Source organism: Homo sapiens, chromosome X (genome assembly GCF_000001405.40).
Source record: "Homo sapiens chromosome X, GRCh38.p14 Primary Assembly".
Lineage (NCBI taxonomy): Eukaryota > Metazoa > Chordata > Mammalia > Primates > Hominidae > Homo > Homo sapiens.
In genome coordinates this window covers 102,902,543-102,915,849 of record NC_000023.11, presented here as the reverse complement: position 1 = coordinate 102,915,849, position 13,307 = coordinate 102,902,543, and the positions used below count along the sequence as shown (strand labels likewise).

The 13,307-nt window shown below is 37.6% G+C and overlaps 1 protein-coding gene and 1 long non-coding RNA gene across 4 annotated transcripts in view; both read right to left on the bottom strand.

The window, feature by feature from the left end:
* LINC00630 (long intergenic non-protein coding RNA 630) overlaps nucleotides 1–13,307 on the bottom strand; it is a 195,371-nt gene that overhangs the window by 48,674 nt on the left and 133,390 nt on the right. For 2 of the 3 annotated variants that reach the window (NR_146593.1, NR_146591.1), the window contains one exon: nucleotides 7,740–10,189. This is a non-coding gene — a long non-coding RNA (long intergenic non-protein coding RNA 630). Of the gene's footprint in view, nucleotides 1–7,739; nucleotides 10,190–13,307 lie in introns of those variants that run through there. The other variant, NR_146589.1, reaches the window with a different exon arrangement.
* The window catches only part of ARMCX5-GPRASP2 (ARMCX5-GPRASP2 readthrough), a 308,717-nt gene continuing 303,195 nt past the window's right edge, over nucleotides 7,786–13,307 (bottom strand). Inside the window, exon 19 of the transcript NR_146584.3 lies at nucleotides 7,786–10,189. The gene's annotated coding sequence lies outside the window, so the exon portion shown is untranslated. The remainder of the gene's footprint in view (nucleotides 10,190–13,307) is intronic.

Here is a 13,307-nt window from a genome sequence, read left to right as displayed (position 1 = left end):
GTATATCTTCTTTTGAGAATTGTCTATTCATGTCCTTAGCCCACTTTTTGATATTTTTATTTTGTTTTGTTTTGTTTTTTCTTGTTGATTTGAGTTATTTGTAGATTCTGGATAATAGTCCTTTGTCAGATGTATAGATTGTGAAGATTTTCTCCCACTCTGTAGGTTGTCTGTTAACTCTGCTGATTATTTCTTTTGCTGTGCAGAAGCTTTGTAGTTTAATTAAGTCCCATCTATTTATTCTTGTTTTTGTTGCATTTGCTTTTGGGTTCTTGGTCATGAAGTCTTTGCCTAAGCCAATGTCTAGAAGGGTTTTTCTAATATTATCTTCTAGAATCTTTATGGGTGTTAGATTTAAGTCTTTGATCCATCTTGAGTTGATTTTTGTATAAGGTGAGAGATGAGGATCCAGTTTCATTCTTCTACATGTGGCTTGCCAATTATCCCAGCACCATTTGTTGAATAGGGTGTCCTTTCTCCACTTCATGTTTTTGTTTGCTTTGTTAAAGATCAGTTGGCTGTATTTGGCTTTATTTTTGGGTTCTCTATTCTGTTCCATTGGTCTATGCGCCTATTTTTTTTTTTTTTTTGTCTTGCTTTGGCTATTTGGGCTCTTTTTTGGTTCCATATGTACCCATCCATGAGCATGGGATGCGTTTCCCTTTGTTTGTGTTGTAGATGGCTTTTATTACTCTAAGGTATGTCCCCTTTATGCCGATTTTGCTGAGGGTTTTAATCATAAAGGGATGCTGGATTTTGTCAAATGCTTTTTTCTGCATCTATTGAGATGATCATGTGATTTTTGTTTTAAATCTGTGTATGTGCTCTATCACATTTATTACTTGTGTATATTAAATCATCCCTGCATTAATGGCATGAAACCCACTTGATCATGGTGGATTTTCTTTTTGATATGTTGTTGAATTTGGTTCATTAGTATTTTCTTGAGGATTTTTGCATCTATGTTCATCAGGGATATTGGTCTGTAGCTTTCTTTTTTGTTATGTCCTTCCCTGGTTTTGATATTATGGTGAAACTGGCTTCATAGAATGATTTGGGGGAGGATTCTCTCTTTTTCTATCTTTTGGAATAGTGTCAATAGGATTGGTACCAATTCTTTGAATGTCTGATAGAATTCAGCTGTGAATCTGTCTGGTTCTGAACTTATTTTTTAGTTATTGGCAATCTTTGTATTACTATTTCAATCTCTTCCTGGTTTAATCTAGGAGGGTTGTATATTTCCAGGAATTTATCCATCTCTTGTAAGTTTTCTAGTTTATGCACATAAACGTGTTCATAGTAGCCTTGAATAATCTTTTGTATTTCTGTGATATCAGTTGTAATATCTCCCATTTCATTTCTAATTGAGCTTATTTGAAACTTCTCTCTTCTTGGTTAATCTTGCTAATGGTCTATCAGTTTTATTTATCTTTTCAAAGAACCAGCTTTTTGTTTCATTTATCTTTTGTATTGTTTTTGTTTGTTTCAATTTCATTTAGTTCTGCTCTGATCTTCGTTATTTCTTTTCTTCTCCTGGGTTTGGGTTTAGATTGTTCTTGTTTCTCTAGTTCCATGAGGTATGATCTTAGATTGTCTATTTGTGCTCTTTCAGACTTTTTGATGTAGGCATTCAATGCTATGAACTATCCTGTTAGCACTGCTTTTGCTGTATCTCAGAGGTTTTGATAGGTTGTGTCACTATTATCTTTCAATTCAAAGAATTTTTAAATTTCCATCTTGATTTCATTGTTGACACAACGATCACTCAGGAGCAAGTTATTTAATTTCCATGTATTTGCATGGTTTTTAAGGTTCCTTTTGGAGTTGATTTCCAATTTTATTCCATTGTGGTCTGAGAGAGTACTCGATATAATTTCGATTTTCTTAAATTTACTGAGACTTGTTTTGTGGCCTTTCATGTGGTCTATCTCGGAGAATGTTCCATGTACTGATGAATAGAATATATATTCTGTAGTTGTTGGGTAGACTGTTCTGTAAATATCTGTTAAGTCCATTTGTTATAAGGTATAGTTTAAGTACATTGTTTCTTTGTTGACTTTCTGTCTTGATGACCTGTCTAGTGCTGTCAGTGAAGTATTAAAGTCTCCCACTTTTATTGTGTTGCCGTTTATTTCATTTCTTAGGTCTAGTAGTAACTGTTTTATAAATCAAAAGGTCCAGTGTTAGGTGCATATATATTCAGAATTGTGATATTTTCCTGTTGGACTAGTCCTTTTATCATTATATAATGTCCCTCTGTCTTTTTTAACTGCTGTTGCCTTAAAGTTTGTTTTGTCTGATGTGAGAATAGCTACTCTTGCTCACTTTTGGTGTCCATTTGCATGGAATATATTTTTCTATCCCTTTACCTTAAGTTTATGTGAGTCCTTATGTGTTACGTGAATCTCCTGAAGACAGCAGAAACTAGGTTGGTGAATTCTTATCCATTCTGCCATTCTGTATCTTTTAAGTGGAGCATTTAGGCTATTTACATTCAATGTTAGTACTGAGATGAAGTACTATTTTATTCATTGTGCTATTTGTTGCCTGCATATATATATACATACATACATATATTTTGGACTGTGTTATTGTCATATAGGTCCTGTGAGATTTATGCTTTAGGGAGATTCTATTTTGGTATATTTTAAGGATTTATTTTAATATTTAGAGCTCTTTTTAGCAGTTCTTGTACTGCTGGCTTAGTAGTAGTGAATTCTCTCAGCATTTGTTTGTCTGGGAAAGACTGTATCTTTCCTTCATTTATGAAGCTTAGTTTCTCTCTGGATACAAAATTCGTGGCTGATAATTGTTTTGCTTAAGGAGGCTAAAAATAGGACCCAAATTCATTCTAGCTTGTAGGGTTTCTGCTGAAAAATCTGCTGTTAATCTGATAGGTTTTCCTTTATAGATTACCTGATGCTTTTGCCTCATAGCTCTTAGGATTCTTTCCTTTGTCTTGACTTTAGATAACTTGATGACTATGTGCCTAGGCAATGATCTTTTTTGCAATGAATTTCCCAGGTGTTCTTTGAACTTCTTGTATTTCTCCAGATCTCTAGCAAGGCCAGGGAAGTTTTCTTTGATTATTCCCTCAAATACGTTTTCCAAACTTTTAGATTTCTCTTCTTCCTTAGGAACACTAATTATTCTTAGGTTTCGACATTTAACATAGTCTCAAACTTCTTGGATGCTTTAGTCATTTTTTTTACAATTCTTTTTTTTTTTTTTTTTTTTTGAGACGGAGTTTTGCTCTGTCGCCCAGGCTAGAGTGCAGTAGCGCGATCTTGGCTCACTGCAAGCTCCACCTCCCGGGTTCACGCCATTCTCCTGCCTCAGCCTCCTGAGTAGCTGGGACTACAGGCACCTGCCACTATGACGGCTAATTTTTTTTTTTTTTGTATTTTTAGTAGAGACAGGGTTTCACCGTGTTTGCCAGGATGGTCTCGATCTCCTGACCTCGTGATCCACCTGCCTCGGCCTCCCAAAGTGCTGGGATTACAGGCGTGAGCCACCACACCCAGCCTAAAATTCTTTTTTCTTTGTCTTTGATGGATTGGGTTAATTTGAAAGCCTGTCTTTGAGCTCTGAAGTTCTTTCTTCTGCTTGTTCGATTGATTGCTGAGACTTTCCAGTGCGTTTTGCATTTCTCTATATGTTCCCCGATTTCTCGAAATTGTAATTGTTTTTTTTTTAATTTATGCTGTTTCACTGAATAATTTTCCTTTCATATCCTGCATCACGTTTTTGATTTATTTAAGTTGGACTTCATCTTTCTCTGCTGCCTCTTTTATTAGCTTAATAATCAACCTTCTGAATTCTTTTTCTGGCTATTCCAAGATTTCATCTTAGTTTGGATCCATTGCTGGTGAGCTAGTGCAATGTTTCGGGGGTGTTAAAGAAACTTGTTTTGTCGTATTAGCAGAAATTTTTTTCTCGCTCTTTCTCATTTGGGTAGACTATGTCAGAGGGAAGATCTGGAATTCAAGAGCTGCTGTTCAGATTCTTTTGTCCCATGGGGTGCTCCCTTGATGTGGTGTTCTCCCCCTTCCCCTATAAATGCGGCTTCCTGAGGGCCAAAGTGTCATGATTGTTTTTGCTCTTCTGGGTCTAGCCACCCAGTGGAGCTACTGGGCTCCGGGCTGGTACTGGGGAGTGTCTGCAAAGAGTCCTGTGATGTGATCCATCTTCAGGTTTTGCAGCCAGTGGAGGTAGCAGGGGAGTGAAGTGGACTCTGTAAGGGTCCTTGGTTGTATTTTGGTTTAGTGTGCTAGTTTTGTGTTGGTTGGCCTCCAGCTAGGAGGTGGTGATTTCAAGAGTGCATCAGTTGTGGTCCTGCAGAGAGGATGCCAACTTTCCCTAGGGACAGCTGGTTAAGTATTCAGATTTCTCAGGCGGTGGGCAGGGCCATAGAACTCCCAAGAGATTATGACCTTGGTCTTTGTCTACCAGGGTGTGTAGAGAAAGACCACCCGGTAGGGGCAGGGATAGGCATGGCTGAGCTCAGCCTCTCCTTGGGTGTGGCTTGCTGTGACTGCTGTGGGGGATGGGGGTGTGGTGTCTGGTCCAATGGAGTTATATTCCCAGGGGGATTATGGCTGCTTCTGCTGAACCATACAGTTTGCCAGCAAGTGGGGGAAAGTCAGCGGTCATGGGCCTCACCCTGCTCCCATGCAGCCTGCAGCCCTAAAGGCTGGTGTCATTCCCACTGTGCCCTACAACAGCACCGAGTCTATTTCAGGGCAACCAGTGACCAGGGCTGAGAACTTGTCCCAGACCACCAGCTTCCCCACTGACAAAGCAAGCAGACTCACAGTTTTTCGGCATCTCAGGGGGCCTGCAACAGTGATCCAGTTTCTTCAAAGGGTCTGTGGATTCTCTCAGCTTTCCTGGTATGTTCCTGCAGTACTTCTTGGAGCAAAGGTTTACAGTACGAGTCTCCACATGCTGCTCTGTCCATCTCAGCAGGAGCTGCAAGCTGGTCCTGCCTCCTATCTGCCATCTTGCCCCCATGCATTTATCTGAAATCAAAATACTTTTAATAAAAGCATTATACTACTAATATTCCAGTGTGAAAGTTCCTTTCTGCTCATATTAGAAATAATGTGAATCTTTACTAATCTGATAGGCAAAAAAAATCATCTCTCATCATTGTTTCAATATAACTCATTTTTGCTCTCTTCTGAAATTTCATACTGTGGATGTGACATAATCAATTTTCACAACCCCATATTATTCAGAGTGTTCCAATATTCCCTATTATCTACACGACATGGATAGCATCTTTTCAGAGTCTGTGCACTGGTAGTGGTTGTAATCCAGGGCAGAGTTCCCATGGCTATTTGCTCTGGTGAGCTGAATGGGTCCCCTTGGAGCCCAACAACTATGTTGAGAGAATTGTAGTATTGTGATAACAGAACCTGGTTGATGTAGGAGTGAGTGTGTGTGTGTGAGAGAGAGAGTGTGAGTGTATGTGTGTGCTGACAACCACATTTCCCTTTACTTCCTTCTGGCTTGTGTCTTTGCATCTCATTTCGTCTCCCTTTCTAAATTCAAGCCCAAAAGTGAAAAAAGGGAAATATCAGGATGGCAGTACTTGTAACCAGATTTTAATCAACATTCTTCACTAAGTCCTGAAGATAAACATATAAAAGGAAATGCTAGCACAAAGCGTGTGTGCCTATGTAGGCCTTGATAAGTATTGCTCTACAGACACTCATAAAGTAGTGCCATTTAGACTCCCCAAGTATAGGGAGGTGAGAAAGGCTACAGAGGAATGAAGAAAGTACTGACGCTGACAAGGTGTTGCAGAGGAAAGGCCCTGGACTCTGTGGTGGACACACATATTGGTCATTTGTCTATTTTCGGTTTTGTTGTCTGTGCTTTTAAGGTCTTAGCCATAAAATATTTGCCTAGACCAATGTACTAAAGTGTTTCCCCCAGGTTTTTGTCTAGTACTTTTATAGTTTCAGATCTTACATTTAAGTCTTTAATTGATCTTGAGTTGATGTCTGTATATGATGAGAGACAGAGATGCAGTTTCATTCTTCTGCATATGCATATCCAATTTTCCCAATACCATTTATTGAGGAGGATGTCCTTTCTCCAACGTACGTTCTTGGTGCCTTTGTTGAAAATCAGTTTTGTCTGTAAACATGTGGATTTATTTCTGCGTTCTCTATTCTGTTCCATTGGTCTTTGTGTCTGTTTTCATACCAATACCATGCTGTTTTGATTACCATAGCCTTGTAATATATTTTGAAGTCAAGTAGTGTGATGCCTCCAGCTTTGTTCTTTTTGGTCTGGATTGGTTTGGTTATCCGGGTTCCTTTGTGGTTGCATATCAATTTTAGGATTGTTTTTTCTATTTCTGCAAAAAATGTCATTGGTACTTTGATAAGGATTGCATTGAATCTGCAGATTACCTTTGACAGTATGGTCATTTTAACTATATTAATTCTTCCAGGCCATGAGCATAGGATATCTTTCCATTTGCTTGTGTCCTCTTCAATTTCTTTCATCAGTGTTGTGTAGTTTTCCTTGTAGAGGTCTTTCACCTACTTGGTTAAATTTATTCCTAGGTTTTTTTTTTGGTAGCTATTTCAAGTAGGCATGCCTTTTTAATTTCTTTCTCCACTATTTCATCATCAGCTATTTCGTCATTGGTGCATACAAACACTACTGATTTTTGTATATTGATGTTCTATCCTAAAACTATATTGTATTTATCAAATTTGGGAGGGTTTTGATGGAGTCATTAGGTTTTTCTAGATATAAAATTATATCATTTGCAAAGAGGAACAAATGTAAAGATATCCAACTTGGATATCTGTTATTTCTCTTGTCTGATTGCTCTGGCTAGGTCTTCCAGTACTATGTTGAATAGTAGTGATGAAGGTGAAAAAACAAGACCCTTGTCTTGTTCCAGTTCTTAGATGAAATGGTTTCAGCTTTTCCCCATTCATTATGATGTTAGCCCTGAGTTTATCATATATGGTTTTTATTATTTTGAGTTACGTTCTTTTGATGCCTAGTTTCTTGAGAGTTTTTATCATGAAGGGATGATGAATTTTATCAAATGCTTTTTATGGATTGGTTGAGATAATCATATGGTTTTTGTCCTTCATTCTGTTGATGTAATGTATTATGTTTGTTGATTTGCATATGTTGAACCATCTTTGCATCCCTGGTATAAATCCCACTTGATCACGGCATATTATCTTTTTGATGTGCTGTTGGATTCAGGTTGCTAGTATTTTGTTGAGAACTTTTGCATCTATTTTCATCAGGGTTATTGGCCTGTAGTTTTTTGTTGTTGTTGAGTCCTTGTCTGGTTTTTAATATCATAATAATGCTGCCCTCATAAAATGAGTTAGGGAGAATTCTCTCCTCTTCAATTTTTTTTCAGTAGTTTGAATATAACTTTTGTTAGTTCTCCTTTGAAGGTTTGGTAGAATTCATCAGAGAAACCATCCAGGTCTGGGCTTTTCTCTGTTGGAAAATTTTTATTACTGATTCAATCTCATTACTTACTATTGGTCTGTTCAGGTTTTCTATTTCTTCCTGATTCAATCTTGGTAGGTGGTATACGTCCAGGAATTTATCTATTTCCTCTAGGCTTTCCAATTTGGTGGTATATAATTGTTTATAATAGTCTCTGATGATTATTTGTATTTCCATGTTATCAGTTGTAGTGTCTCCTTTTTCATTTCTGATGTTGTTTATTTGTGTCTTCTCTCTTTTTTTTCTTGGTTAGTCTAGCTGATGGTTTATCAATTTTTTATCTTTTCAGAAATCTAACTTTTTGTTTCATTAAAATTTTGTATATTTTTAGTTTCTATTTTGTTTAGTTTGGCTCTGACCTTTACTGTTTCCTTCCTTCTACTCATTTGGGATTTGGTTTTTCCTTTTTTAGTTCCTTGAGGTGAACAGTTAGATTGGTTATTTGGAATCTTTTTACTTTTTTGATGTAGGCATCTATTGCTACAAATTTTTCTCTAAGCACTGCTTTTGCTGTATCCCATAGATTTTGGTATGTTGTGTTTCCATTTTCATTTGTTTCAAATAACTTTTTGATATCCTCCATATTTTTTTTCTTGACTCAGTGGTCATTCTGGAGCATGCTGTTTGTTTATTTTCCACATATTTGTACAGTTTCCCAGGTTCCTCTTGTTATTGATTTCTACTTTTATTACATTTTTGTCTGAGAACATACTTGATATGATTTTGATTTTTTAAATTTGTTGAGACTTGTTTTGTGTCCTTCTACTTAACTACTTCCTTCACCATTAAATAGAATACAGTAATAGCTATTTCAAATTAATGAACATAATACACATTACTTTTGTCAATCTGTGCAAATGTATGTTATGTTGTGTCTAAATATTCATCAAAATATTTTTATTCCTGAATACCAAATTTCAGACAATATACAAAAGCACATATATGAATTGTAATTAATCTTCACCTCTCAGTAGCTCAACTCCTACCTCCTGACCCAAAAGGTCTGTTGTCCATAGAATGGTGCACACTTTCCAGACATGTTTCTGTGGATGAGGTGCACATGACCATGTTCACCTACATATGCACGTAATCTTTGCCAAAAAGTGCAACCACATTAATCATCTCCTTTTGCAAGCTGTCTTTTCCACTTAATATTCTTCTGAGGATTTATATTAGCATCTTATTAGTTCTTATAGTTTTAGCATAATCAACAAGTTCCTTGTTCATGTCTATATCTATTGGAATTCTATGTCAAAATTAGTTGCCAACTGTTTTGTTACTGAGTTTGCCCTATAAATTATGGATACTAATCCAACATCTGAGATGTAGTTTGAAAATGTTTCCCCGTTATTTTACAGACATTCTTAGTGTTATTTTCATTTAGAATGTGTTTTCAACTTCAATAATATGAATAAGATATATATAGATTGTAATTTAAAAAGAAATACTAGTGAAGAACACCTTAGGGCGTGTGTACTGTCGGCCTTGAGAAAAATTCAAGCATTGAGAGTCCTGGAGATATCAAGAAAAAAATGGAAAAATACTTAAAAATACTTAAAAGTAATTCTAGAGTTAGCTGCTGAACTGGAGAGAAAAGAGTTTATTCCCTGCTTTACATAAACTTTCCTAAAGTACCCTGATTTGAATAATTGTCAAAGTGATAGGTACCTTGAATAGCAGTTAAGATTAAAGGAGATGAAATATAAAGTGCATTTTCTTACAGTAGTTTAGTGTATGTTACTTTCCTTCTCTCCAGCTCACCTGTCCCAAGGCCAACACTTGAGCTTCTGCCTGAGCCCACTCACCACTTCGAGAAGCAACCAACTCATGTGGCCCTACACCCAGGTCTCTTGGCATAAATGGTGGGATTTAATCTTCTCTATCTTCTTCATCACCCAGAGGGGTTGTGGAGTGAGGACGCATTGGTCCACAATAGCAGGGGGGTGGAATCTGACCATTTCTCAAGCCCTGGAAGCCCATCTTCTAAAAGGGAGGCTACTCAGGGCTGTCTATGGATGATGAGGGATGGAACCTCATTTCAATCCTACCACCTATCTGGAGAAGTGACTTAGGCTCTGAAAGCCTGAGTTTGGTCATCTATGAAATGGGACTGACCACACCATCCTTACAGTGCTGTCCTGAGGGGTAAATGAGAAAACCTGTACAGAGTATATGGCATAGAGTGGGACTTCAACGGCCTTTAAATGTTGGGACACAGCACTAGGGGATGGCTGAGCCTCAGGGCTAACGAGGCATTGTGAAAAACCATTTCTCATTGTTTCTCTTTATGAGAAAACAGATATCTAGTTGAAGAAAGCAAATGTCCCTGTGATATGCCTTGAGTTCAAAGATTTGTAGACAGTTGTTTCTGTACTTCCTGGGCACTATCAGAAGCTCATAAGAGCTGTTCAACATCATGCGCCTGAGCTGACCCAAATCCAGCTCCCCATGCTGGAAAGACAGGCATATCTTTGAATTCACCTGTTGAGTTCAGAAATCGGTAACACCAGGGTAGCAAAAAGTTGTTTGCCTAATGGCTATTCCTGGACTAGTCAGTATGGTTTTGGGCTCTTTTTTTGTTTTTGTTAAGGAAAAATTTGGACCCATACCGCAGCCACCAGTGCAGTCTTCAGATCATGCGGTATTCAGCCACATCACTCCAGGTTTTCGGTCATCTGCTGCCTCCCTTAGAGACAAAAATCCAATAGTTACTAGCAAGTCTTTGACACACGATAGAGTTTGGCTGTGTCCCCACCCAAATCTCACCTTGAATTGTAATAATCACCACATGTCAAGCACAGGGCGAGGTGGAGATAATTGAATCATGAGGGCAGTTTACACCATACTGTTCTCATAGTAGTGAATAAGTCTCACAAGATCTGATAGTTTTATAAATGGGAGTTTCCCTGCACAAGCTCTCTTGCCTGCCACCATGTAAGATGTGTTTTTGCCTTCTGCTATGATTGTGGGGCCTCCCCAGCCATGTGGAACTGTAAGTCAATTAAACCTCTTTCCTTTATAAATTACCTAGTCTCAGTTATGTCTTTATTAGCAGCATGAGAACAGACTAATACAACACACAATTATCCAGTTTTTAATTAGCTAACAACTAAATATTTACAGAGCCCAGAATTCATGCTATTCCATTGGAGGTACCTCATGAACTCTAAAGTCGAATTAACTGGGCAAGAAAGGAAATTAATATATGGGTGACTTCATTGCTTAAATCTGAGATGAGATGGTTCTTCTCATTAATTTTTAAACTTGATCAGGTTTCAAAAAATTGATGATTTTCAAAAATCCCTCCTTGGACCTCTCATCACCTATTCAACCACATGATAGAGATACCACTCCTCTCCCTCTCTCCCTCTCTCTCTCTGGCGCTCTCCCTCCAGCGCTCTCTCTCCCTCTCTCTCTCTCTCTGTGTGTATGTGTGTGTGTGTATGTGTGTATATGTATGTGTGTATGTGTATGTGTCCTCCCCCACTGGATTCTCTCTTCTTCAAATTCAAAGTTCCACAAAGAGTTTTACACATTCCTTGTTAATACTCTCCACTTTTCACTGACTCTTTATCCCATTACACTATGGATTCTGTCCCCAGGATCATCAATTAACACATACAAATTAAAACTCTTTTGAAATACCTTCCTTGTGCAATCAAAAATAACAAATGGAAAGCAAAATATACTCATGCTGAGCAATTGTGATACAAAATCAGATCAAGCTCTAAATGACATGCATCCCTGAACTAATCAATGGATTTGGGTAGTAGCCTGGACATATGAAAATCAACTCAGGGAATCACTGTCTTCTTTCACCAGCATGACCCAGTTTAGATTCTAGATAGACAGGGTAAGCCTACATGAATTACAGTTTGGATGAAAGATAGAAAATTAGGTCTGGACAAATGGAAGGTATTTCATGTCAGGATACACTGAGATATTATTTTAGGATAGTTAGCTTCAGGGAAACTCTAAGATTTTGAATTCATCAGGGAATAAAGACGCTTGGAAAATGGTATCTGCAGATTTTGTTGGAGCTCCCCACAGCATATAAACTGAGAAAATGGGTGTGTCTGCTTCAGTGAGTCTGAAAGAGAGTATAAATGACAAATAGGCATATATGGTAGGTCCCTCTATTAAGATGCGAATGTGTGTTTGTTCTCCTCATGTTTCTTCCTTTCTCCTATTTCATGAGGTAGCCAGGTATTTAGAGATGAAACCATGTCAGAAAACAATACCATATTTCACTTACAGGTATATGCATATGTAATAAAAGTATAGAAAAATGTCTTGAAAACGTAAAACCTAAATTCTGCATCATGGTCACCTGTGGGAAAGAAGGCAGCTGAGGTAATAAGAGAAGACTTTAAAGTGTGTTTGACTCACCTATGAAAGTTTTATATGTTGACATGAATATGTAGAAGTCTGTTGTATTCTATAATTTTTTGTGTTACTTTAATATTTCATAACAACCACTATTTCTCTGAGACTTAATTCTGATTTTAAAAAGATCCATACCAATTAAGAAATTCAGGGAAATATAATCAAGTCCAGATATATAATTAATCAATAACCCCATCACTAGTTAATTTTAAACGTAGAATTATTTTTGTATTAATGCTCATTTCATTCTCTATGCACGCATATTTAATGTATGTATACTAAATATGGGTTTCATTAATTTGAAGACTCAATATTTGCTAAAGATCATGAAAGCAGCTATTAAATGTACACACATTTTCTACCTGATCTATCTGACTCCAAAGCCCACATCCCTAACCACTGCGTATACAAGGACAGATCTAGTACTTGGGACCCAGGACTTCTGGTTTCAGTCTGTTTTATAGCAGACTCATCTTCATGCTCTGTCATTCGGTGCTATCTCCTTTCCAGAGCTTAATGAAAGGCTGCTATTCCAATGTCCAAATGGAAGGTAAAAGAAGGTAGCAAGAAAGGACATCAAACAAAATGTAATGAGGGGATGATTTTCCTTCTCCTCCACTGCATGATCAGGTTACCTGTGCTACAAAGAAGAGACAGCAAAGCCCGCCCGCCCTCCCTCCCTTTCTCTCTCTCCCTCCCTCCCTCCCTTCCTCTCTTTCTTTCTTTTTACAGGGTCTTGCTCTGTTGCCCAGGCTAAGTGCAGAGAGAAAACAAATGAAAGGGTGGAGAGAGTGCAACCCCATGAAAAGAGTGTTCTGGTTAAGAATGTGACTTCAGGAGGAAGGCATAAACCCACTGCCAGATGGGAGCCTATGGGACCTGGGGTTAGAGAAAAACTAAAGTAGGTATAATATTAACCTGGGTTAATTTTATGGCTATGATTTTTTCGGAAATATTTCTTAAGTAACATATTTTAGGAGTTACATTTTTATCATAAATGTATTCCACACTTGTCTTTGCAAAAGTTTAATATTGAGTCAAGTGCAGAAATTAAAAAATATTAATATCCAGTGTTAAAGCAAACTAAATGTGACCTGAGAAGGACTTCGTACTTCTATATTTGAGTCCTTGTGGATGAACTGTAACCTAGCTTAATAGACAAAATTGAAAACATAACTTAGGAGTATGTGCCTGTAACAATAGCTAAGTCTTGGCCAATCCCAGAGGCCATACTTCAACCATTTGTGTACTGCTGAGTGTTCAAACTGGGTTTAAATAAGGCAAATGCCAAGCTATAATCAATCCAGCCATTCTGTACCTCACTTCCAATTTCTGTACATCATTTCCCTTTTTTGGTCTATAAATCTTTTTCCACCATATGGCTGTGCTAGAGTCTCTGTGAATCTGCTGTGATTCTG